Source organism: Homo sapiens, chromosome 16 (assembly GCF_000001405.40).
Source record: "Homo sapiens chromosome 16, GRCh38.p14 Primary Assembly".
Lineage (NCBI taxonomy): Eukaryota > Metazoa > Chordata > Mammalia > Primates > Hominidae > Homo > Homo sapiens.
The window spans coordinates 29732058-29756944 of NC_000016.10; the positions used below are offsets into that span (position 1 = coordinate 29732058).

The 24887-nt window shown below is 49.2% G+C and overlaps 1 protein-coding gene and 1 long non-coding RNA gene across 5 annotated transcripts, besides 7 other annotated features; one reads left to right on the forward strand and one right to left on the reverse strand.

The window, feature by feature from the left end:
* Positions 6365–6464: an enhancer, noted in NCBI's record as "active region_10668". NCBI's record gives its function as "activates an Ori minimal core promoter by ATAC-STARR-seq in GM12878 lymphoblastoid cells {active_cell/tissue: GM12878}" and the evidence as "EXISTENCE:reporter gene assay evidence [ECO:0000049][PMID:35858748]".
* Positions 6755–6804: an enhancer, noted in NCBI's record as "active region_10669". NCBI's record gives its function as "activates an Ori minimal core promoter by ATAC-STARR-seq in GM12878 lymphoblastoid cells {active_cell/tissue: GM12878}" and the evidence as "EXISTENCE:reporter gene assay evidence [ECO:0000049][PMID:35858748]".
* C16orf54 (chromosome 16 open reading frame 54) lies at positions 10406–13933 on the reverse strand. 4 transcript variants are annotated; one of them, XM_047433979.1, is made up of 3 exons: positions 13370–13566; positions 12611–12894; positions 10406–11881 (listed from the first exon to the last, which is right to left on the reverse strand). In XM_047433979.1, exons 1-3 carry the CDS (start codon positions 13424–13426, stop codon positions 11833–11835), a joined length of 390 nt encoding a protein of 129 aa, XP_047289935.1. In that variant the 5' UTR covers positions 13427–13566; the 3' UTR covers positions 10406–11832. The 4 variants fall into 4 exon arrangements, with proteins under 4 accessions (XP_047289935.1, NP_787096.2, XP_047289934.1 ...); NM_175900.4 differs by lacking the exon at positions 13370–13566 and adding an exon at positions 13854–13933 and having other exon boundaries at positions 10406–12894; XM_047433978.1 differs by lacking the exon at positions 13370–13566 and adding an exon at positions 13640–13933 and having other exon boundaries at positions 10406–12894.
* On the forward strand, positions 13190–17585 carry LOC124903673 (uncharacterized). The gene is made up of 2 exons (XR_007065046.1): positions 13190–13328; positions 15919–17585. It is a non-coding gene; the product is annotated as an uncharacterized LOC124903673 (long non-coding RNA).
* Positions 14223–14272: an enhancer, noted in NCBI's record as "active region_10670". NCBI's record gives its function as "activates an Ori minimal core promoter by ATAC-STARR-seq in GM12878 lymphoblastoid cells {active_cell/tissue: GM12878}" and the evidence as "EXISTENCE:reporter gene assay evidence [ECO:0000049][PMID:35858748]".
* Positions 14800–14869: an enhancer, noted in NCBI's record as "active region_10671". NCBI's record gives its function as "activates an Ori minimal core promoter by ATAC-STARR-seq in GM12878 lymphoblastoid cells {active_cell/tissue: GM12878}" and the evidence as "EXISTENCE:reporter gene assay evidence [ECO:0000049][PMID:35858748]".
* Positions 22290–22339: a silencer, noted in NCBI's record as "silent region_7332". NCBI's record gives its function as "represses an Ori minimal core promoter by ATAC-STARR-seq in GM12878 lymphoblastoid cells {active_cell/tissue: GM12878}" and the evidence as "EXISTENCE:reporter gene assay evidence [ECO:0000049][PMID:35858748]".
* Positions 22520–22589: an enhancer, noted in NCBI's record as "active region_10672". NCBI's record gives its function as "activates an Ori minimal core promoter by ATAC-STARR-seq in GM12878 lymphoblastoid cells {active_cell/tissue: GM12878}" and the evidence as "EXISTENCE:reporter gene assay evidence [ECO:0000049][PMID:35858748]".
* Positions 23030–23089: an enhancer, noted in NCBI's record as "active region_10673". NCBI's record gives its function as "activates an Ori minimal core promoter by ATAC-STARR-seq in GM12878 lymphoblastoid cells {active_cell/tissue: GM12878}" and the evidence as "EXISTENCE:reporter gene assay evidence [ECO:0000049][PMID:35858748]".

Consider the following 24887-nt stretch of genomic DNA (forward strand, 5'->3'; position numbering starts at 1 on the left):
GTTTTTAGTAGAGATGGGGTTTCACCATGTTGGCCAGGTTGGTCTTGAACTCCTCACCTCAGGTGATCTGCTTGCCTCAGCCTCCCAAAGTGCTGGGAATCCAGGCGTGAGCCACCACACCCGACCCCACATTTGTTTTTATGATAGAATGTTTTCATAATTTATTATATTACTAAGTTGTGTTTTAGATTTTTCAGTTTCAAGTTTGGTTTCTAAAATAAATGAGTACAAACCACAAGCTCAGTTTCTCCTGAAACTCTCACAGCCTGCTTCTGACGTCAGATGTGTGTGGGTTGCACACTGCGTTAATCCATTCTCACACTGCTATAAAGAAATACCTGAGACTGGGTAATTTATAAAGAAAAGAGGTTTCATTGGCTCACGGTTCTGCAGGTTGTAAAGAAAGCATCTGCTCAGCTTCCGGGGAGGCCTCAGGAAACTTACAGTTATGACAGAAGGTAAAGGGGAAGCAGGCACGTCTTACGTGGCCAGAGCAGGAACAAGAGAGAGAGTGAAGGGGTAGGTGTCACACACACATTTTTTTTTTTTTTTTGAGATGGAATTTTGCTCTTGTCACCCAGGCTGGTGTGCAATGGCACAATCTCGGCTCACTGCAACCTCCGCCTCCCAGATTCAAGCAATTCTCCTATCTCGGCCTCCCAGGTAGCTGGGTTTACAGGCTTGTGCCACCATGCCTGGCTAATTTTTTTTTTTTTTTTTAGATGGAGTCTCACTCCGTCTCCCAGGCTGGAGTACAGTGGCTCGATCTCGGCTCACTGCAACCTCTGCCTCCCAGATTCAAGTGATTCTCCTGCCTCAGCCTCCTGAGTAGCTGGGTTTACAGGGGCGCACCACCACACCCGGCTAATTTTTTTATTTTCAGTAGAGACGGGGCTTCACCATGTTGGTCAGGCTGGTCTTGAATTCCTGACCTCGTGATCCACCCGCCTCGGCCTCCCAAAGTACTGGGATAACAGGCGTGAGCCACTGCGCTCAGCCAATTTTTTGTATTTTTAGTAGAGCTGGGGTTTCACCATGTTGGTCAGCTGGTCTCAAACTCCAGACCTCAGGTGATTCACCTGTCTCGGCCTCCCAAAGTGCTGGGATTACAGGCATGAGCCACCGCACCCGGCCAGTTTCACACACTTTTAAACCACCAGATCTCACAAGAACTCCCTCTCACGACGACAGAACCAAGGGGGATGGTGTTAAACCATGTTAAATCATGAGAAACCACCCTGACAATTTAATCACCCCCCACCAGGCATCAGCTCCAACACTAGGGTTTACAATTTGACATGAGATTTGGGCAGGGACACAGATCCAAACCATATCACACACCAAACAAGCAATCAGTTCTACTGCAGACACCAGCTGGGTGTCCTCTGATTTTTTTTTTTTTTTTTGAGACGGAGTCTCACTGTCGTCCAGTGAGATTGCAGTGGTGCAATCTTGGCTCACTGCAACCCCTGCCTCCCGGGTTCAAGTGATTCCTCTGCCTCAGCCTCCGGAGTACCTGGGGTTACAGGTGCCTGCCACCACGCCCAGCTAATTTTTTGTGTTTTTGGTACAGACGGAGTTTCACCGTATTAGCCAGGATGGTCTCGATCTCCTGACCTTGTGATCTGCCCTCCTCGGCCACCCAAAGTGCTGGGATTACAGTCTTGAGCCACCGCGCCCGGCCATGTCCACTGATTTAATCCAATTATAACATCATCTACCTGGAGATAGCGTCACATCTCACGGGGTGAGGGCTGCATCCCACAAGACTGCCCCTGACTTCCGATGCCAATTGCAAGCCCCAGGTTTTTTTACCTGCACTTCTAACCAACTGGCTAATAAATCAGGGTTCTCCCGGCCCTGCCCTTGGGTGACATTAACTTGCTAGAGTGGCTCACAGAACTCAGAGAAACATGTTTACCAGTTTGGTTATTATAAAGGATATTTCAAAGGCCAGGCACGGTGGCTTATGCCTGTAAACCCAGCACTTTGGGAGGTCGAGACGGGCAGATCACTTGAGGTCAGGAGTTTGAGACCAGCCTGGGCAACATGGTAAAACCCCCATCTCTACAAAAAATACAAAAATTAGCCAGGCATGGTGGCATGCACTGTAATTCCAGCTACTCGGGAGGCTCAGGAGTTTGAGACCAGCCTGACTAACATGGTGAAACCCCGTCCCTACTAAAAAATACAGAAATTAGCCGGGCGTGGTGGCATGCGCCTGTAATCCCAGATACTTGGGAGGCCAAGGCATGAGAATCGCTTGAACCCAGGAGGCAGAGTTTGCAGTGAGCTAAGATCACACCACTGCACTCCAGCCTGGGTGACAGAGCAAGACTCTGTCTCAAAACAACAACAACAAAGAAAACCAAAGTGATCCACCCACCTTGGACTCCCAAAGTGCTGGGATTATAGACATGAGCCACCATGCCCTGCCTTTTTTTTTTTTTTTCAGACAGGATCTCTCGCTCTGTTACCCAGGCTGTAGTGAAATAGTGTGATAATGTGATCACAGCTTCCTGCATCCTTGACCGCCCCCAGCCTCAAGTGTTCCTTCCACCTCAGCCTCCTGAGTGGCTGGGACTACAGGTGACCGCCATCATGCCTGGCTAATTTTTGTTTTTTCTTTTTTTAGAGATGGGGTTTTGCCATGTTGTCCAGGTTGGTCTTGAACTCCTGGGCTCAAGTGATCCTCCTCCCTTGGCCTCTCAAAGTGCTGAGATTACAGGCTATGAGCCTCTGTGCCTGGCCCCTAAACTTTTTCCAACCCACCATTCCACCATGCTCCGTGTATCAGCTCTCCATACTTTATGACTTCATTGCTTTAGTCACTGTTCTGCTACTTGCAGCCTAGGGCATTCCTAATGACACATGGTCCACATTAGACTTTACAGATAGCCTCATTTTCTACTAGTTTTGCCTATGAGGAAGACAGCCCTAGAAAGTGACAGCTAGATTGAGACCTAAAGAGTAAGAATTAGCCAAGATGAAGTAGTGGGAGGGAGGAAGATGGATGTTGCAAAAGGAAGGGAGTGTTTGTTGAAATGATCAGAAGTTGGAAAAATCTTTTAAGCATTTTTCTTTTCTTTAGAGATGGGTTCTCTGTCACCCACATTGGAGTGTAGTGGTATGGTCATAGCTCAGTGTAGCCTTGAACTCCTGACCTCAAGGGATCCTCCTCTTCAGCCTCCTGGAATTACAGGCATGAGCCATCATGCTTGGCTAATTTATTTTTAAATTTTTTGTATAGACCTGGCCACGTGTGAGGGCTCATACCTGTAATCCCAGCATTTTGGGAGGCCTAGGTGGGTGGATCATCTGAGGTCAGGAGTTGGAGACCAGCCTGGCCAACATGGAGAAACCCTGTCTGTACTGAAAATACAAAAATTTGCTGGGTGTGCTGGTGCACACCTATAATTCCAGCTATTTGGGAGGCTGAGGCAGGAGAATTGCTTGAACTCAGGATGTGGAGGCTGCAGTGAGCCAAGATTGCACCACTGCACTCCAGCCTGGGTGACAGACCAATACTCTGTCTCAAAAAATAAAAATAAAAATAAATTAAATAAATAAAAATAAATTCTTTGTAGAGACCGGGTCTTGCTACATTGCCTAGGCTGGTCTCGAACTCCCAGTCTCAAGCAATCCTCTCACTTCAGCCTCCCAAGTAGCTGGGATTACAGGAGTGAGCCACCACATCCGACCCTTTTAAGCATTTTTTTTTTTTTTTTTTTGGCAGGCTTACTCCAGGTGCAATGTGGAAAATAGAGACAGGGGAACATTTAAGCGCAGTTTAGGAGCAATGAGTGGAGCAGAACCAGGATGGAAGAAGTAAGCATGAGGAGAAGCAGGCAGAAGTCAGGGGTGTTTGGAGGTGCTGATGGGGGGCAGAAAGGAGCCTAGGAGAAAGAAGAGTATTAGGCTTGGTGGGGGTGGTCATGCATCCTAAAATAATTTTGAGGTCTTCACAGGGGGATATTGAAGTGGCTGTTAGAGAGATAGGGTTTGAAGTCAGGAGAGAGACATAGGTTAAGACATAGGTTTGGGTTCATGTTACAGAGACCCAGGACGACAGTGATTTATACAAAAGAAAGTGTTAGTTCTCTGTCGTGTAATTACACTGAGGCAGGCAGTTCAGGTGTCCTGTGCTGGCTGCAGGGATTCAAGCTCCTTCCATCTCCTGGCTCAGCCAACCCTGGCATGCTGCCGTTGTCCATGATATCTCACCATCATGTCTGGATTCTAAATAGCAGGAGAGAGAAAGAGGAGTGGGGAAGAGGAGCCAGAACCAGTTGCATGGATGCCCTTAGCCACAAGGGGGTCTGGGAAATGCAGCTTTTCCTCTGGGTGGCCACAAGCCCAGTTAAAAATAATGGTGCTGGCAACGTGCATGGCACACGGCTGGAATCCCAGCACTTTGGGAGGCTGAGGCAGGTGGATCACTTGAGCCCAGGAGCTCAACACCAGCCTGGCCAACATAGTGGGACCCCATCTCTACAAGAAATACAAAAAATAGCCAGGTGTCATGGCACATGTCTGTAGTCCCAGCTACTTGGAAGGCTGACACAGGAGGATTACCTGAAAGTGAGGAGGTCAAGGCTGCAGTGAGCTGTGATTGCACCACTGCACTCGTCTTGGCAACAGAGCAAGACTCTGTTTCAAAAAAGAAAGAAAAAAAGAAGAGGTTGTATTAGTCCATTCTCATGCTATTAATAAAGACATACCCGAGACTGGGTAATTTATAAAGGAAAGAGGTTTAATTGACTCACAATTAAGTATGGCTGGGGAGGCATCAGGAAACTTATACAGTCATGGCAGAAGGGGAAGCAAAAACATCCTTCTTCATGTGGCGGCAGCAAGGAAAAGTGCTGAGCCAAAGGAGCAAAAGTCCCTTATAAAGCCATCAGATCTTGTGACAACTTTATCACCAGAACAGCATGGAGGTAACCACCCTCATGATTCAATTGCCTCCTACGACACGTGGGGATACAGCCAAACCATATCAGAGGTAGTGCTATTCCTTTAAAATAATGCGAGAATAGATCTAGGAGGACCACATCTGCCACCGCTGGAGATGGAGACATGGGGAACATCAGGGTATGAGATAGTAATTGGGGCCAGGCGCAGTTGGCTCACGCCTGTATCCCAGCACTTTGGGAGGCTGAGGCGGGTGGATCACTTGAACTCAGGAGTTCAAGACCAGCCTGACCAACATGGTGCAACCCCATCTCTAGTAAAAAAAAATACAAAATTAGGCTGGGCGCGGTGGCTCATGCCTGGAATCCCAGCACTTAGGGAGGATGAGGTGGACGGATCACCTGAGGTCCGGAGTTGAAGACCAGTCTGGCCAACATGGTGAAACCCCGTCTGTACTAAAAATATAAAAATTAGCCGGGCATGGTGGTGGATGCCTGTAATCTCAGCTACTTGGGAGGCAGAGGCAGGAGAATCGCTCAAACCTGGGAGGCGGAGATTGCAGTGAGCTGAGATCATGCCATTGCACTCCAGCTTGGGCGACAAAAGCGAGACTCCGTCTCAAAAAAAAAAAATAAAATAGCTGGACATGGTAGTGTGCGCTTGTAATCCCAGAGACTTGGGAGGCTGAGGCAGGAGAATTGCTTGAGCCCAGGAGGCGGAGGTTGCAGTGAACTGAGATCATGCCATTGTACTCCAGCTTGGGCAACAAGAGTGAAACTCCGTCTCAAAAAAAAAGAGATAGCAATTGGAGCCTTGGGCCTAGGTGAAATTTCCCAGAAGGAGTGCAGAGGGAGGGGAAAAGCAGCCCAGGACTGACCTTTGAGAAGGCATGCCGCCAGCAAAGAGAGTCAGAGAGCACGGCTGGGTAGCGGGGAGGGAAAGCAGGTGTGTGTAAAGCCACAGAGCCATGGGGAGAGAACATTTCCAGAAGTGTCCAGTGCTGTCTGCAGGAGGCTTGAAAGTGTCCTTTGATTAAAACAGCAGGTCATGATTTTGATGGCAGTCGTTTCTGTAGAGTGCTGGAAGCCCATGGAAGCCTGCAACCAGTTGCAGAGGGAGGGGAAGATGAGAAAGTGTAGACTGCTAGGACAGACGGCTCTTCCCAGACGTTTGGCTGTGAAGGAGGTGAGAAGTCGTGCTGTGTGTGAGGGGTAGAGAATGAGTTGTTGGAGCTGGACATGACTCACCCCTGTAATCCCTGCACTTTGGGAGGCTGAGGAGGGAGGATCACTTAAGGCTAGGAGTTTGAGACCAGCCTGGGCAACATGGTGAGACCCTATGCCTACAAAAGTCAAAATACTAGTTAGATCTGGTGGCATGTGCCTGTAACCCCAGGTACTTGGGAGGCCAAGGCAGAAAGATGGCTTGAGCCCAGGAGATTGAGGCTGCAGTGAGCCGTGACTGCACCACTGCACTCCAGCCTGGGTGACAGAGTGAGACCCTATCTCAGAAAAAAGAAAAAAAAAAAAAAAGAGTTGTTGGTTGGCTGGTTGTTTTAAGGTGGGAGAGATGTCAACTTATTTATATGGGGAAATAGCCTTTTGGGTGATAGTGTGAATGGAATAACCTGACAAGCATGTCCTCACCACTATGCATCTAGAAGCGCTGCATAAAACCAAACAAACATCCTTTAAAACATGCAGCTTAGTTGCAAAAAAGAAAGGGAAATCCCCAGGAGGCACGAAGAGGAAACTGAACACTAGAGCTGTGCAACTTGCTGGGTGGCTGTGATCTTGGCATTGAAGGGCCTAGGGCTTTACACCTACCTAGAGATTGGAGATAAGGCCTTGTCTGGGGAACTGAAAACATAAACACTAATAGAAAGCTTGTACCCTTAAGGGGTGACATCCTTGGTGAAAGAGTAAACTAGGAAAAAAATCTGCCTCCAGTTCAGGGAGCATAAAAGGACCTTGTCTGTTTCACTCTGAGATTTGGTGACAATAAATGGTCTCTTTTGAGAATTCATAACCAAAGGCTTGGCCTCACTTGGACTTGGGGTTCAAGTTTACATCATCTGCATGGTCTGGGAAGCCCAAATGTCAACAAATAATATAGTCCAGGCCAGGTGTGGTAGCTCGTGCCTATAATCCCAGCACTTTGGGAGGCTGAGGTGGGAGGATCACCTGAGGTTAGGATTTCAAGACCAGCCTGGCCAACATGGTGAAACTACGTATCTACTAAAAATACAAAAATTAGCCGGGCATGTTGGCAGGAGCCTGTAATCCTAGATACTCGGGAGGCTGAGGCAGGAGACCTCGGGAGGTGGAGGTTGCTTGACCCTGGGAGGTGGAGGTTGCAGTGAGCTGAGATCGCACCACTGCACTCCAGCCTGTGCAACAGAGCAAGACTCTGTCTCAAAATAATAATAATAATAAATAATAATAATAATAATAATAACAATGTAGTCCAGGGTTGGTAACACCCATGAAGAGCTCTTGGCAGAAGCAGATGTGAAACCTCTTTGAACCTTGGTGGGCATGTGCATTCCCACTGATAACACCCTGCTGAAGCTGAATTCACAGCTCAAAATTACAAAACATAAGAGGAAACAATCTTCATGAATGACAGTAAGCAGACACAGCATATAGCAGGATTAGCTCCAACTCCAGAACTCCAGAGAATAGCATTATTTGGCAAAGAACCATACAGCAAGTGTGGTTTAAATTTCTAAAGATATAAAAGAAGACATCAATATGAGAAAGAAATAAGATGGTGTTAAAAATGAGTGGGATTCCGGTCAATGAATGCGTCTAAAAAAAAAAGTGAGCAGGAGAGGTTTAAAGTAAAAAGAAGAAACAGTAAAATGAATGTGTCTGTTAATCTATGAACTTATTCATTCCCCATTCATTAGGCTCCTATAGTGTTTTAGACCATGTTCTGGGTCTGGAAATATAAAGATGACTCTGCAGATAGCAAGTTAGACTCTGCCTCAGGAAGATCGCATGCAGAAATCCATGTATCAATGCATCCATTTATCTATACATCCACTCATCCACACATCCATTCTCTTCACCTATCCATTCTCCCATCCATCCATCCATCCATCCATCTATTCATCCATCCATCTGTCCGTCTGTCCATCTATCCATCCATCCATTTATTCATCCATCCATCCATCCATTCATCCATCCATCTAGTCTTCCATCCATTCATTTATTTATCCATCCATCCATCCATCCATCCATCCAACCGTCTTTCATTTTACTCACTGTGGGGGAAAGAAAGAGAGATCTGACTGTTACTGTGTCTCTGTAGAAAGAAGAAGACATAAGAAACTCCATTTTGTTCTGTACTAAGAAAAATTCTGCCTTGAGATGCTGTTAATCTGTAACCCTAGTCCCAACCCTGTGCTCGCAGAAACATGTGCTGTGTTGACTCAAGGTTTAATGGATTTAGGGCTGTGCAGGATGCACCTTGTTAAAAATGTGTTTGCAGGCAATATGCCTGGTAAAAGTCATTGCCATTCTCCATTATCGAGTATCTAGGGACAGAATGCACTGCGGAAGGCTGCAGGGACCTCTGCCCAAGAAAGCCTGGGTATTGTCCAAGGTTTCTCCCCACTGAGACAGCCTGAGATATGGCCTTGTGGGAAGGGGAAGACCTGACTGTCCCCCAGCCCAACACCGTAAAGGGTCTGTGCTGAGGAGGATTAGTGAAAGAGGAAGGCCTCTTTGCCGTTGAGATAAGAGGAAGGCATCTGTGTCCTGCTCGTCCCTGGGAACGGAATGTCTCGGTGTAAGGCCCGATCATACATTCTATTTACTGAGATAGGAGAAAACTACCTTATGGCTGGAGGTGAGACATGCTGGCGGCAATACTGCTCTTTACTGCTCTGAGATGTTTGTGTAAAGTCAAACATAAATCTGACCTACGTGCACATCGAGGCACAGCACGTTTCCTTAAACTTATTTATGACACAGAGACCTTTGCTCACGTTTTCCTGCTGACCCTCTCCCTACCATTACCCTATAGTCCTGCCATATCCGCCTCACTGAGATAGTAGAGATAGTGATCAATAAATACTAAGGGAACTCAGAGACCAGTGCCCGCACAGGTCCTCCGTATGCTGAGCGCTGGTCCCCTAGGCCCACTGTTCTCTCTCTATACTTTGTCTCTGCATCTTATTTCTTTTCTCAGTCTCTTGCCCCACCTGACAAGAAATACCCACAGGTGTGGAGGGGCTGGCCCCCTTCACTCATTCTCAAATGTCACAGCTAGAAAAGTCCCAATAGAACATCTTGTTCAACTTTCAGCTGTCTTTTTGTACATGAAAAAAGCACATGAGGCCCCATAATACAAAACTCTGTTTTCTGAAGTCTCTAAGTGAATAAGGTGATGGAGGCAGATCATGAACTGGGGCCTTGTCCCTGCATTTCTTCCACACTGCAGTGCCTTTCCTGAACCCATGGCATGGAAGCATCTGACCTCTGAACACCTGCCTGTATCTTCTGTTTCTCTCAGGTCTGTTCACTCCTCGTGGGCAGAGTCCCCACAACCCAGTGCTGTCAACTGATGGTGATGATAAGGAATGTCATTACCCAGCTCATGAGTGATAGAGATGGGACAGGGCCCTGGTCTCTCCCTGGTGTCAGTTTTGTGTCCATATCTTAGCTCACCCCTACCTTTGTTCCCTACTCTGCCGCTAGAGAGACTGTGAGCTCCTTGAGGGCAGGGCCCAGGTCTTATTCCTCCCCTCCCAGTGCCCAGCTCAGAAACAGTGCTTAGGATGCTGGCCAGTGACTACACCTGGGAGAAGAGACTGGACTAGGCTCTCGGTCCCTCTGCCTGGGGTTTCTGGCTGCTCTGTCAACTTCCAACATCCCAAAAATCAGAGGGGAGGTCAAGGGATTGGATGAGAGGCTCCAAGTGCTCCTTAGCCCACTGTGCAGGGAGAAGTGAGTGTTTCCTGGCTGTGGGTGAACTTCGTGGACAGCATTAAACAACACAGCATCCCGCCCCCTGTGCGGGGCTGTCTGTCTGCCTTGGCACTTCCAGAAGGTCTCATTGTGGTGCTAGAGTATCTAACACTTTCTGACTTGCAGATCAACATTCCCTTTTCTTGTTAACAAAGAGCAGTGCCGGGCGCGGTGGCTCACACCTGTAATCCCAGCACTTTGGGAGGCTGAAGCGGGCAGATCATGAGGTCAGGAGTTCGAGACCAGCCTGGCCAGCATGGTAAAACCCTGTCTCTACTAAAAATACAAAAATTAGCCAGGCATGGTGGCAGGCGCCTGTAATCCCAGCTACTTGGGAAGCTGAGGCAGGAGAATCGCTTAAACCCAGAGGCGGAGGTTGCAGTGAGCGGAGATCGCGCCATCACACTGCAGCCTGGGCAACAGAGCGAGACTCCGTCTCAAAAACAACAACAAAAACAAAGAGCAGAGTTTTAGGTCAATGCTTCCAGCAGGGAACAGAATTTAGATCTTAACAATTTTGTTTACATTGTATTTATTTTCATGTTTTACCTTCTATTGATGGCAAATGAGACTGGTTTTCCATTTACAGAAGTGATACAAAAGATTCCTGTTGCAATAATTTCATTAAGTGAATAATGAGCCAATTTAAAGAAAAATATAAAGCAAATAATTGTACAGATGGTAAACTAATATGGCAAAATCACTAATATTCAAGGCTGAAGTTTGGCCGGGCATGGTGGCTCATGGCTGTAATCCCAACACTCTGAGAGATGGGGATGAGTGGCTCTCTCGAGCCCAGGAATTAAAGACCAGCCTGGGCAACATAGCAAGACCCTGTCTCTAAAAAAAAAAAATAGCCAGGTGTGGTGGTACATGCCTGTAGTTCCACCTACTAGGGAGACTGAGGTGGGAGGATCACTTAAGCCCAGGAGTTCAAGGCCGCAGTGAGCTGAGATTGTGCCACTGTAGTCCAGCCTGGGCAACAGAGTGAGACCCTGTTTCAAAAACAAAAAAAAGTGGCCGGGTGCAGTGCTCATACCTGTAATCCCAGCATTTTGGGAGGCTAAGGCTGCTGGATCACTTGAGCCCAGGAGTTGGAAACCTGCCCAGGCAGTATGGTGAGACCGTGTCTCTACAAAAAAAATACAAAAATTAGCTGGGCGTGGTGGTATGCACCTGCAGTCCCAGCTATTCTAGAGGTTGAGGTGGGAGGATCGCTTGAGCCTAGGAGTTCGAGGCTGTAGTGAGTTGAGATTGTGCCACTGCACTCCAGTCTGGGTGACAGAGTTGAGATTCTGTCTCAAAAAAAAAAAAAAAAAAAAAAAAAAGACAAAGTTTGGAAAATTAAACCCCCAGGGAAATGGAAACTACATCTGCTGCTCACCCACCTGCCTGCCTCTCCTAAAGGGAAGATTGGGTACTTGGGGTCCCATTTCTGTAGGGTGGAGCATTATAAGTAAGCCTAGCTTGTGGCAAATCTGTCTCTCTGGACACTCCAGCAAGCTGGAAGGGACGATGATCAGAGGTCACAGTTTGGGAGTTGCCCTGCTCTAGGACAACGCTCCTCTCCACATTGGATGAAACTCAGTTTCCCCTGGCCATGGCCTTCCTCACCATGGAGTGGTGAGGGTCCGAGGCTGAGACGTGTGCAGATGGAGGAGAATGGGCAGAGGAGCCTGTGGGTTTTCTCTGACTCTAGGTCCCCACTCCAGCAAGACAGCGCCGCTGCAGCTTGGCCCAGCAAGTTCCTCCTTGCAGTTTGGGGGTCAAAGCCACAGTTCATATGAAACAAAATGTTCCTCTGCCTGGTCTGGTCCTCTCTTTGTGTATTTTCCTAGAGGACCTCACAGTGGGTGAGTGGCCAAGGAGAACAGGATTTGTGGCTCTGGGAAACTGGATTCCTGTCATCTCCTGCCAGCTGTCATCGCCACACCGAGGCTGTTCAGCACCGCAGGACCCGTTCTCTTTGGTATTGGTGGCTTCGGTAAACACTGAAAGAAGGTGGAGGTGGCTGGTCGATGCCATTTCCTGACTATCTAGTACCTTGGGTTCTTCATCTGGATGCGATCTTGAAGGCTTCTGGCCTGGCATTGGCTCCACCCCCAGGTCTCTGAGCCACAGCCCAGGTAGCTGAGCAGAGGCACTGCTGGGCTTCCCCTAGTCCACATAGCCTGGCCACCACCCAGACCCGGGGAGGGGGACTCCAGGTGGAAGGAGCCTGGGAAGGGCATCTTCGCTGGGGCAGTCTCAATCCTAATGCTGGATCCTGGGGTCCCCGGTCCCACTGAGGCAAGGCCTGCCTCGGGGATCTCTGGGGAACCCTGGGGATTCAGAACCCCACACTGGTCCGGCCTTCACGCTTCCAGAAAGCTGAGATCTGCTCCAAGGTGACCCGTGGCTGGAGGCCCCACTCAGGATCCGGGCTCCCTGGCCGCTGCCTCCTGGCCTGGGGGCTCCCAAACTGGACGCTGGCCTCTGGCCTCTGCTCGGGTTCAGCCCAGCTCACCAGGCCTGTGGCGGGGGGCCTCCCCTCCCAGGGCTGGGGCCCCCAGAAGGTGCTCCGGGCTGGGACCTCCAGTACGGTCTGGGGGCCCAAGTTGCTGGGAGCAGAATTTGGGGCTGAGGGGGCAGGTGGGGCTGTTGCTCGGGCCTCCAAAGTGCCCACCTGGGTGGGAGGCTCAGGGGCCCGATCTGTCAGCAGGGGGACCGCAGAGCCATACCAGTCCTCAGAGCGCTCTCGGGCGGTGCCCATGGGCTCAATCCACAGCTCTCCTCCTGGGCGCCACACCAGGGTGGGTGCACGGTGGCTGGGGTCTGGGCGGAGAGCACGGCGGAACAGGCGTTCAGCCAACACAGCGGTGGTGAGGATGAAGAGCGCAGCCAGGGTGGCCAGGACCAGCATGATGGGGATGCAGGGCCCACAGGGCAGTGAGGGCCATGGGGCTGCTTCCCATGCGGGGGGCCCCTCCACGCGCCCAGAGGGCGGCTCTGGAGTCAACGGCATCTGAGAGACACAGGGGTGAGAAGAGGAAGTAAATGAGGCAGAGGGGGCACAACCAAGATGAGAGAGAGGCAGCAGGTGTCCAGGAAAGCCTGGGAGAAGGGCTGGGCATGGGGGCTCATGCCTGGAATCCCAGCACTTTGAGAGGTCGAGGCGGGAGGATCACTTGAGCCCAGGAGTTCAAGACCAGCCTGGACACACAGTGAAACCTCATCTCTAAAAATAATTTAAAAACTAGCTGGGTGTGGTGGCTCACACCTGTAGTCCCAGCTACACAGGAAGCTGAGGTGGGAGGATTACTTGAGCCCAGGAGTTTGAAGCTGCAGTGACCCCAGATTGCACCACTGTCCTCCAGCCTGGGCAATAGAGCAAGACCCTTTCTCAAAAATGAAAAAGAACATTCTGGAGAGACAGAGAAGCAAGAGGGACCAGAAAGGGTAAGCGTGAGCCAGGTGGGGTGGGAGGACAGGCAGCCTACCTCGGGGCACAGCCAGGCCCTCCTGCCTGGCTCTCCAGGCCTTTCCAGAATCCCCATTTCCCTCCCAGACCCCAGGGTGCCTCAGACAAGAAAGGTCTCAAGGGCTTCTTTCCTCCCCACTCGGCCCCCTCAAGTCTTGCTCAGACCTAGAGAGGAAGTGGTGGGTGAAGAAATGAGAACCTCCCCTCCCACTGGCTCCCCTGCGTGTGTCTCCCCCACCGCCTGCCGCCAGCACCTCCGCTGGCCCCTTGAGGCTCCTTCGCCCCTCACCATTCTCCTCGGACTTGATCTTGCTCTCATAGGCTCCACGGAATCTGCTGCCGGGCCGGGCCGGGCCAGGCCTCCGGAGGCGCCTCTGCACCCCTCCTGGGCTCCCCAGCTTTGCCCAGGCTCTGGCCTGTCTCTATCTCTCGTTTGTCTCTGCACACCTCTCTGTCCCCCACATCCTCCATCTGCAGGGGGCCTCCTGCACCCCTCAACTCACCTTGGGTCAGTCCCTGGGCTCCTCTCCCTCCTAGAGCCACTCTTCCTGGTGCTGGACTAAGAGGTGCAGGCTTGGAGGGTGCAGGGCGGTCCGCCTCTCAGACGTAGAGGCCCGGCCTCGGATGAAGGCGGAAGGGAGGGCACCGCCTGTTGCTGGGCAACTGTGCCCCAACTCGTCTGCCCCTGGGGAGTGTTTGTTTCCAAAGCAACCCAAGGGGATGTGGTCACTGCGGTGAGGAGGCTTTTCCTGGGGTAAGGTGGGGCTGGAATGGGCAATGGTTCTGTTGAACTTAGTGTCACCCCATAGCCAGGCCCTGAGCCCCAGAACATTCACCGAAAAGCTGAGAAAGAGGACGCCGGGGCCAGGCACAGTGGCTCACCCCTGTAATCCCAGCATTTTGGGAGGTCAAGGTGGGCAAGTCACCTGAGGTCAGGAGTTCGAGACCAGCCTGCCAACATGGCGAAACCCCATCTCTACTGAAAAATACAAAAATTAGCTGGGCATGGTGACGGGCACTTGTAATCTCAGCTGCTCAGGCGGCTGAGGCAGGGAGAATCGCTTGAACCCGGGACTCGGAGGTTGCAGTGAGCTGAGATCGTGCCACCACACTCCAGCCTGGGCAACAGAGTGAGACTCCGTCTTAAAAAAAAAGAAAAGAAAAGAAAAGAAAAAGAAATAGGACACTGGGACTTTAGCCCGTACATTCCCAGAGAACCATGGTGCCTCCCCCGTTCCTCCTGGGAGGATGCCCCACCCCATCCTGCCTTGTCTTATCCACGGTGCCTCCCCAGATCTGCTCCTGCCATGCAGCCCCCACAGGCACCCCCTGCTTGGCCAGCTTGCTTCACACCTTTTTTTTTTTTTTCTGGTAGAGATGGGCTCTTGCTATGTTGCCCAGGCTGGTCTCAAGCTCCTGGCCTCAAGAGATCCTCCTGCCTCAGCCTCCCAAAGTGCTGGGATTACAGGTGTGAGCTACCACACTGGCCCCTGCCTCATACTTTTAATTAACATAAGTCTCTCTCTCTTCAGACCATTTAGCCCCCATTTTGGTTGGAAAATATCAGTGAGGTGAGGCTTGGGTAACAAAAATGTCAAGCCTCTGAGAGGAGTCCAGGGTATAAAAACAGGCGTGGGCCTGTTTCCAAAACCCTGACCATCCTCATGTCTGTCCCTCTTTCCTGCTGCTGAGGGTGGGAGGAGCCTGGAGCAGAGTGTGACAAGATGTCATCAGGCTCTGGAGTCCAGGTGACTTTCTGAGATTCTCTAGTTTGACTCATCCACAGATGACAAAAGTAAGGCTTAAAGAAAAGAGATTTCATGACCAAAGTCGCATGACCAATGTATGTGTGGGTGAGCATGTAGTGGCCAGGGTGGTGGAAGAATAGATAGAAATCCCTGGGCTGGGCGAGGTGGCTCATGCCTGTAATCCCAGCACTTTGGGAGACCGAGGCGGGTGGATCACCTGAGGTCAGGAGTTTGGGAGCAGCCTGGCCAACATGGCAAAACCCCGTCTCTACTAAAAATACAAAAATTAGCCGGGCGTGGTGCCGCACGCCTATGACCCCAACTACTCAGGAGGCTGAGGCAGGAGAATCGCTTGAACCCGGTGCAGTGAGCCGAGATCGTGCCATTCCACTCCAGCCTGGGCAACAGAGCGAGACTCTGTCTCAAAATAAATAAATTAAATAAATAAATGAATGAAAAGACAGTCTCCGTCAGACTGCCCCATCCTGGTGGTTTTGAGCCCTGCTGGGAGGAGCTGGAGATGGAGAGTCCGGGGGAAACCGCCTTTGCAAAGAAAGAGATCTAACTTAACTGACTCCACCTTGCTTCTAACCTCCAAGCTGTCTTTGTTTATTCCTGGGCGTAGGCTGAACTAACTTTGGGAGAAACTTAGTTTGTAGTTTATAGTTTAAACAAAGACAGTAACAGCCCTTTCCCAAAGCAGACCTTCTTGCCTGGGGACTAGACTAACACTAGCCATAGGATTAGAAATTATGGTTTAGGAGTCATGCAGCTGGAGGCTACAAGATTCTGACCCTCCCTAAACTGCTCCTAACATCAGTGCTTGAGATATTTTGCAGACCCTGCACTTGATGGATCAGCTGGCACCACCCAGATCAATAAACTGGCTCATCTGATCTTGTGGCCCCCACCCAGAACTGACTCTGCAAGAAGACAGCTCTGACTCCTGATGATTTCATCTCTGACCAATCTGCACTCCCAGATCCCAGCACTTTGGGAGGACCAGACAGGCAGATCACAAGGTCAGGATGAGAGGTGACAGCGTGCTGGCAGCCCTCACTCACTCTGGGCGCCTCCTCGGCCTCCACGCCAACTCTCCCTGCGCTTGAGGAGCCCTTCAGCCCGCCGCTGCACTGTGGGAGCCCCTCTCTGGGCTGGCCGAGGCGGGAGCCCGCTCCCTCTGCTTGCCAGAGGTGTGGAGGGAGAGGCGCGGACGGGAACTGGGGCTGCGGGCCACGCTCGAGGGCCAGCATGAGTTCCGGGTGGGCGTGGGCTCGGTGGGCCCCGCACTCAGAGAGGCCGGCTGGCGCCATTGGCCCCAGGCAGTGAGGGGCTTAGCACCCAGACCAGCAGCTGCAGAGGGTGCGCCAGGTCCCCCAGCAGTGCCAGCCCACAGGTGCACTTGAATTCTCGCAGGCCTCAGCTGCCTCCCCACGGGGCAGGGCTTGGGACCTGCAGCCCGCCATGCCCAAGCGTCCCCCTGCCTGGGCTCCTGCACCGCCCCCTGCTCTGCGGGGCCTGGTCCCATCAACCGCCCAAGGGCTGAGGAGTGCAGGCACAGGATTGGTGGGCAGCTCCACCTGCAGCCCAGGTGCTAGGTCCACTAGGTGAAGCCAGCTGGGCTCTTGAGTCTAGTGGGCACTTGGAGAACCTTTATGTCTAGCTAAGGGATTGTAAATACACCAATCAGCACTCTGTGTCTAGCTCAAGGTTTGTAAACACACCAATCAGCACCCTGTCAAAATGGACCAATCAGCTCTCTATAAAACAGACCAGTTGGCTCTCTGTAAAATGGGCCAATCAGCAGGATGTGGGTGGGGCCAGATAAGGCAATAAAAGCAGGCTGCCAGAGCCAGCAGTGGCAACTCGGCGTACCCTTCCACATAGGAAGCTTTGTTCTTTTGATCTTTCCAATAAATCTTGCTGCTGCTTATCCTGGGTCTGCACTGCCTTTATGAGCTGTAACATCGTGAAGGTCTGCAGCTTCACGCCAGAGGCCAGCGAGACCACGAACCCACCAGAAGGAAGAAACTCGGAACACGTCCGAACATCAGAAGGAACAAACTCCGGACATGCCGCCTTTAAGAACTGAAACACTCACCGTGAGGGTCCGCAGCTTCATTCTTGAAGTCAGTGAGACCAAGAACCCGCCAATTCTGGACACAAGGAGATCGAGACCATCCTGGCTAACACGGTGAAACCCCATCTCTACTAAAAATACAAAAAATTTATTAGGCGTGTTGGCGGATGCCTGTAGTCCCAGCTAGTCCCAGCTACTCCCAGCTACTTGGGAGGCTGAGGCGGGAGAATGGCATGAACCTGGGAGGCGGAGCTTGCAGTGAGCCGAGATTGCGCCACTGCCCTCAAGCCTGGGCGACAGAGCAAGACTCCATCTCAAAAAAACAAAACAAAAACAAACAAAAAAACCCTCTGTTTCCCGAATGCTCAGGGAGACTGATTTGAGTAATAATAAAACTCCTGGCTGGACACAGTGGCTCACGCCTGTAATTTCAGCAATTTGGGAGGCCAAGGCCGGTGGATCACCTTAGGTTGGGAGTTTGAGACCAGCGTGACCAACATGGAGAAAACACTGTCTCTACTAAAAATACAAAATTAGCCAGGTGTGGTGGCAAGTGCCTGTAATCCCAGCTACTCAGGAGGCTGAGGCAGGAGAATCACTTAAACCCTGGAGGCGGAGGTTGCAGTGAGCCGAGGTGGCACCATTGTACTCCAGCCTGGGCAAAAAGAGCAAAACCGTCAAAAAAAAAAAAAAAAAAAAAAAAAAAACTCCGGTCTCCTGCACAGCTGGCTCTGTGTGAATTACTCTTTATTGCAATTTTGCTGTCTTGATGAATCGGCTATGTGTAGGCAGCGGGCAAGGTGAACCCCTTTGGCAGTTACAGGGGGAAGCTAAGGCTCAGGACACTCGCAGAAACCTGAGGAGGCTAGAATTTTACCAGATTACAAGCCTTAAAATCAAACCTGAAGTTAGTGCCAGCGAACAACACGCTTAAAAATAACTAAGATGTTCTTTCTGGCTGTTCTAGAGGTCAATATAGAAAAATGATAGTAACTTTGATGTTATTTTATGTTATGTATTTCTTTTTTTCTTTTGAGACGGAGTCTGTCTCTGTTGCCCAGGCTGGAGTGCGGTGACGCAATCTTGGCTCACTGCAACCTCCGCCTCCCGGGTTCAAGATATTCTTCTGCTTCAGCCATCCAAGTAGCTGGGATTACAGGTGTGTACCACCGTGCCTGGCAGTTATGTGTGTTTCCCTACAATCAAACAATGATTTATTGTAAAAAAAAAAAAAATCAAAATAAACAAAACCTGAAAACTTGTATGTGCTCTTTTAATCAATCTTTTTAAACAAACTTTTAGAAGAGTTAACATTATTAAAAACTGGAAAGATCAGACATGGTTTTTTCTTACTAAGATATCACTGGCTGTTTTGATTCTTTCATCACGTACAAGTTTAGGCCCTACACAATGGTTCATGCCTGTAATCCCAGCACTTTGGGAGGCCAAGACAGGTGGATCACCTAAGGTCGGGAGTTTGAGGCCAGCCTGACCAACATGGCGAAACCCCGTCTCTACTAAACATACCAAAAAAGGCCGGGTGAGGTGACTCACACCTGTAATTCCAGCACTTTGGGAGGCCAAAGCAGGCGGATCATGAGGTCAGGAGTTCGACACCAACTTGGCCAACATGGTGAAACCCTGTCTCTACTAGAAATACAAAAATTAGCCGGGTTTGGTGGCAGGTGCCTGTAGTCCCAGCTACTTGAGAGGCTGAGGCAGGAGAATCGCTTGAACCCAGGAGGTGGAGGTTGTAGTGGGCCGGGATCATGCCACTGCACTCCAGCCTGGGTGACAGGGCAAGACTCTGTCTGGGGAAAAAAAAAAAAATTAGCTGGGCGTGGTGACACATGCCTGTAATCCCAGCTACTCAGGAGGCTGAGGCAGGAGAATTGCTTGAACCCAGGAGGAAGAGGTTGCAGTAAGCTGTGATCATGCCACTGCACTCCACCCTGGACAACAGAGCGAGACTCTGTCTCAAAAAAAAAAAAAAAAAGTTTAAGGCCAGGCAAGGTGGCTCATGTTTGTAATCCCACAATTTTGGGAGACTGAAGCAGGAGGATTGCTTGAGGGCAAGAGTTTGAGACCAGCCTGGGTAACATAGCAAGACTCCCATTTCTACAAAAAATCAAAAAATTAGCCAGGCATGATGGCATGTGCTTGTAGTCTTAGTTACTTGGGAGGCTGAGAGGGGAGGATCACTTGAGCTCAGGAGTTCAAGGCTGCAGTGAGCTATGGGTGTACCACTACACTCCAGCCTGGGAAACAAAGCAAGACACTGTCTCAACAACAAAAAAAGACCAAGTATATTTAGTCATTCTATAAAATTTAAGAAGCCAGCCAAAAACATTTATGTTCAGCAATTTGTTTCAGTTATTTCTTCTTACTTGGAAATAATACACACATCTAATGAATAATAGTTAATTTAATAGAACATAATAGAAGATTTAAAATTACATGAAAAATTTATTTATAATAAATTATCCATTACATACTTTATTTTTAACAGTTTCCCTAGATTATTTATGAAAACTGAGATATTAGGCAAGGATAGTCATTATTTCAAGTTACTTCCCTGTTAATCATTTTTATAGCCTGTGACAATCAGGTATTCACCTAAGTAAGAAGCTTAAACATATGAGTAATTTCTTGATAACTCAGGAGATACAGTTTTTTTTTTTTTTTTTTTTGAGGTGGAATCTCGCTCTGTCTCCTAGGCTGGAGTGCAGTAGTGTAGTCTCGGCTCACTGCAACCTCTGCCTCCAGGTTCAAGCGATTCTCCTGCCTCAGCCCCCCGAGTAGCTGGGACTACAGGCTCCTGCCACCACACCTGGCTAATTTTTGTATTTTTAGTAGAGACGGGGTTTCACTATGTTGTCCAGGCTAGTCTTGAACTCCTGACCTCAGGTGATCCACCCACGTCGGCCTCCCAAAGTGCTGCGATTACTAAACCACCATGCCCGGCCGATATAGATGTTTTTACTAAATGAAAAATATTAAATTAGTATTACTTATCAAAAATTACACAGGCTGGGCGTGGTGGCTCAGATCTGTAATCGCAATAATCACACTTTTTCTTTTTCTTTTTTCTTTTTTTTTTGAGACGGAGTCTTGCCCTGTTGCCCAGGCTGGAGGGCAATGGCACAATCTCGGCTCACTGCAACCTCCGCCTCCCAGGTTCAAGTAATTCTCCTGCATCAGCCTCCCGAGTGGCTGGGATTACAGGCATGCACCACCACGCCCGGCTATTTTTTTTTTTTTTTTTTTTATCTTTAGACAGAGTTTCACCATGTTGGCTGGGCTGGTCTCAAACTCCTGACCTCATGATCCATCCGCCTCAGCCTCTCAAAGTGCTGATATTACAGGCGTGAGCTACTGTGCCTAGCAACACTTTTTCTTTTTCTTTTTTTTTTTTTTTTTTTTTTTTTGAGACGGAGTCTCACTCTGTCACCCAGGCTGGAGTGCAGTGGCATGATCTCAGCTCACTGCAACCTCCGCCTCCCAGGTTCAAGCAATTCTCCTGCCTCAGCCTCCCGAGTAGCTAGGATTACAGGTGTGTGCCACCATGCCTGGCTAATTTTTGTATTTTTAGTAGAGATGGGGTTTCACTATGTTGGTCTCAAACTCCTGACCTGGTGATCCACCCCCTTCAGCCTCCCAAAGTGCTGGGATTACAGGCATGAGCCACCATGCCCTGCGTCACTTTTTCTTTTAATTAATTTAAAAAAATTTGTTTTTAGACAGAGTCTCACTCTGTTGCCCAGGCTGGAGGGCAGTGGCTTGATCTCAGCTCACTGCAACCTCCACCTCCTGGGTTCAAATGATTCTCCTGCCTCAGCCTCCTGAGTAGCTGGGATTACAGGTGCGCACCACCATGCCTGGCTATTTTTTTTTTTTTTTGAGACGGAGTCTTGCTCTGTTGCCCAGGCTGGAGTGCAATGGCATGATCTCGGTTCACTACAACCTCTGCCTTCCAGGTTCAGGCGATTCTCCTGCTTCAGCCTCCCAAGTAGCTGGGATTACAGGTGCCCGTCACCATGCCCAGCTAATTTTTGTATTTTTGGTAGAGATGGGGTTTTGCCATGTTGGTCAGGCTGCTCTCCAACTCCTGACCTCAGGTGATCTGCCCGCCTCGGCCTCCCAAAGTGCTGGGATTACAGGTGTGAGCCACTGCGCCCGGCCATTTTAATTTAAATAGAGATGGGGTCTTGCTGTGTTCCCCAGGCTGGTCTCAAACTCCTGGCCTGGAGCAGACCTCCCACCTCGGTGTCCTGAAGTTCTGGGATTATAGGCATAAGCCACCATACCTAGCCTAATCTAAACACTTTGGGAGGCAGGAGGATTGCTTGAAGATAGTAGTTCAAGACCAGCCTGGGCAACACAGTGAGACTCCATCTCTACCAAAAAAAAAAAAAAATTAGCTGGGCATGGTTCCATGTGCCTGTAGTCCTAGCTACTCAAGAGGCTGAGGCAGAGGATCACTTGAGCCCAGGAGTTCGAGGTTACAGTGAGTTATATCATGCTACCTGGACAGCAGAGCAAGACCCTGTCTCTAACAACAACAAAAAATTATACAAACACAGATCATTTTGTTTAAAACTGGATTTGTAGTCTTATAACCCTTGTGTCAGACCCTGACACCTTAAAACATCTAGTAGAGATAAATATAAAACTGTCTGGCCAGTAAACCCAAGCAAAAATGTATGCTGATAATTCTGAAGACATTTCTATTTTTATTTTACCAATACTTTTTTTCTTTGTCTTTTTTTTTTTTTTTTTTTTTTTTTTAAAGAGAGTTTTCCTTGGTCACGCCAGCTGGAGTGCAGTGGCATGATCTCAGCTCACTGCAACCTCTGCGTCCTGGGTTCAAACAATTCTCCTGCCTCAGCCTCCCAAGTAGCTGGGATTACAGGCACTTGCCTCCACACCCAGCTACCTTTTTTGTATTTTTAGTAGAGACAAGGTTTCCTCATGTTGGCCAGGCTGATCTCAAACTCCTGACCTCAGGTGATCCACCCACCTCACCCTTCCAAAGTGCTGGGATTACAGGTGTGAGCCACCAAGCCTAGCCTATTTTACCAATAGTTTTAAAACCAGCTTATTTATTAAAGATTAAAGATTTACGGCAGGGCACGGTGGCTCATGCCTGTAATCCCAGCACTTTGGGAGGCCAAGGTGGGCGGATCACGAGGTCAGGAGATCGAGATCATCCTGGCTCATAGTGAAACTCCATCTCTACTAAAAAAAATACAAAAAAGTAGCCAAGTGTGGTGGCCCACGTGTGCCTGTAATCCCAGCTACTCGGGAGGCTGAGGCAGAATTGCTTGAGCCTGGGAGACGGAGGTTGCTGTGAGCTGAGATCATGCCACTGCACTTCAGCCTGGCCGACAGAGCGAGACTCTACCTCAAAAAAAAAAAAAAGAAAGAAAAAAAATTTTTTTTTCAGTTTCGGCTGATTGAGGTGGCTGGTGCCTGTAACCCCAGCACTTTGGGAGGCCGGTGTGGGAGGATTGCTTAAACCCATGAGCTCAAGACCAGACTGGGCAACAAAGTGAGACCTCATCTGTACAAAAAATGAGAAAATTACCTGGGCATAGTGGTGCATGCCTGTAGTCCCAGCTCAGGATTCAACTGGGGAGGTCGAGGCAGGAAAACTGCTTGAGCTCAGGAGGTTGAGCTGTGTTTGTGCCAGTGCACTCCAGCCTGGGCATGAGAGTGAGACTGTCTCAAAAAACTGTTTTTTATCAGTTTCAAATGAGTTTAGGGTTAAATTTTCAATTGTTTACATTTTAGCCAGGATTGGCTAAATTGTATAAGAAATACAAAATATCTAAGTGCCCTGGAACTAGTAACACGTCTATGTTTTGTTTGCTGATCTGGTTTGATTTGCAAATGTGGGCAGGAAAGAACTTTAGCAGGTGTTTTTTTTATTTTGTTTTTGTTTTTGCCTTTTGGCCTCTGTGTGACAGAAAAAGCAACATTTTTATGCTGGACAGAGATACCTTACATTATTGCTCTGAGCTCAAGGTTTCAACTTCTTTGATCTAAGAGAGTCTAACTTTTATAGACCTTTTTTTTGGTGTTTTATTTTATTTTATTTTATTTGAGACGGAGTCTTGCTCTGTTGCACAGGGTGGAGTGCAGTGGCGTGATCTTGGCTCGCTGCAAGCTCCACTTCCCAGGTTCAAGAGATTCTCCTGCTTCAGCCTCCTGAGTAATTGGGACAACAGGCACGTGCCACTGCGCCTGGCTAATTTTTTATATTTTTAGTAGAGACGGGGTTTCACCATATTGGCCAGGCTGGTCTCGAACTGTTTTTTTTTTTTTTTTTTTTTTTTTTTTTTTTTTTTTGAGACGGAGTTTCGCTCTGTCGCCCAGGCTGGAGTGCAGTGGTGCGATCTCGACTCACTGCAAGCTCCGCCTCCCGGGTTCACGCCATTCTCCTGCCTCAGCCTCCCGCGTAGCTGGGACTACAGGCGCGCACCACCATGCCCGGCTAATTTTTGTATTTTTAGTAGAGACGGGGTTTCACCGTGTTAGCCAGGATGGTCTCGATCTCCTGACCTCGTGATCCACCCATCTCGGCCTCCCAAAGTGCTGGGATTACAGGTGTGAGCCACCGTGCCCGGCCCCGGTCTCGAACTCTTGACCTCGTGATCCGCCCGCCTCAGCCTCCCAAAGTGCTGGGATTACAGGCGTGAGGCACCGCGCCTGGCCTTATAAACATTTGTCTAGTTATTTTTCTTTCTTCCTTTCTCGCTTTCTTTCTTCTTTTTTTTTTTTTTTTTTTTTTTTTTTTTTTTGAGATGGAGTCTTGCTCTGTCACCCAGGCCAGGGTGCGTTGGCGTGATCTTGGCTCACTGCAACCTCCACCTCCTGGGTTCAAGCAATTCTCTCATCTCTGCCTCCTGAGTAGCTGGGACTATAGACATGCACCACCACACCTGGCTAATTTTTGTATTTTTAGTAGTGACGGGGTTTCGCCATGTTGGGCAGGCTGGTCTCCAACTCCTGACCTCAAGTGATCCGCCTGCCTTGGCCTCACAAAGTGCTGGCATTACAGGCGTGAGCCACCACACCTAGCCTTTTTCTTTAGATTATTACTTTTTCAATTAAGTGTTTCATCACTCTAAGCAATTGTTAGGCAAACCTAATTTTATGTTTTTAAAACATGGCTAGCTGTCACGCCCGTAATCCCAGCACTTTGGGAGGTCAAGGTGGGCAGATCATGAGGTCAGGAGATCGAGACCATCCTGGCCAACATGGTGAAACCCCATCTCTACTAAAACTACAAAAATTATCTGGGTGTGGTGGCAGGTGCCTGTAATCCCAGCTACTCGAGAAGCTGAGATATGAGAATCGCTTGAACCAGGGAGGCGGAGGTTGCAGTGAGCCGAGATCACACCACTGCACTACAGCCTGGTGGCAGAGCGAGACTCTCTTTCAAAAAAAAAAAAAAAAAGAAAAAAAAAAGAAAAGGACTAACTGGTCTGAATATTGTGCACCTGTTAGTACTAGCTACTCCAGAGTCTGAGGCAGCAGGATTGCTGTAGCCCAGGAGTTTGAGGTCACAGTGAGCTACAATCATGCCACTGTACTCCAGCCTGTGCAACATAGCAAGATACTGTCTTTAAAAAAAAAGTTGTCTAGGTTGTTGGTTACCATGGAGTTGTAATTTGAAAGCCCTTTAAGACTTTTGTTTAATCTTG

What these genes read in the sequence shown, in the direction of transcription:
- C16orf54 (XM_047433977.1), bottom strand. Translation starts at nt 13,426, where the DNA reads ATGGGGATTCTGGAAAGGCCTGGAGAGCCAGGCAGGAGGGCCTGGCTG. An exon ending in GGGCCTGGCTGTGCCCCGAG is followed by an intron (nt 12,895 to 13,369) that starts GTAGGCTGCCTG and finishes TGTGTCTCTCAG; the next exon opens with ATGCCGTTGACTCCAGAGCC.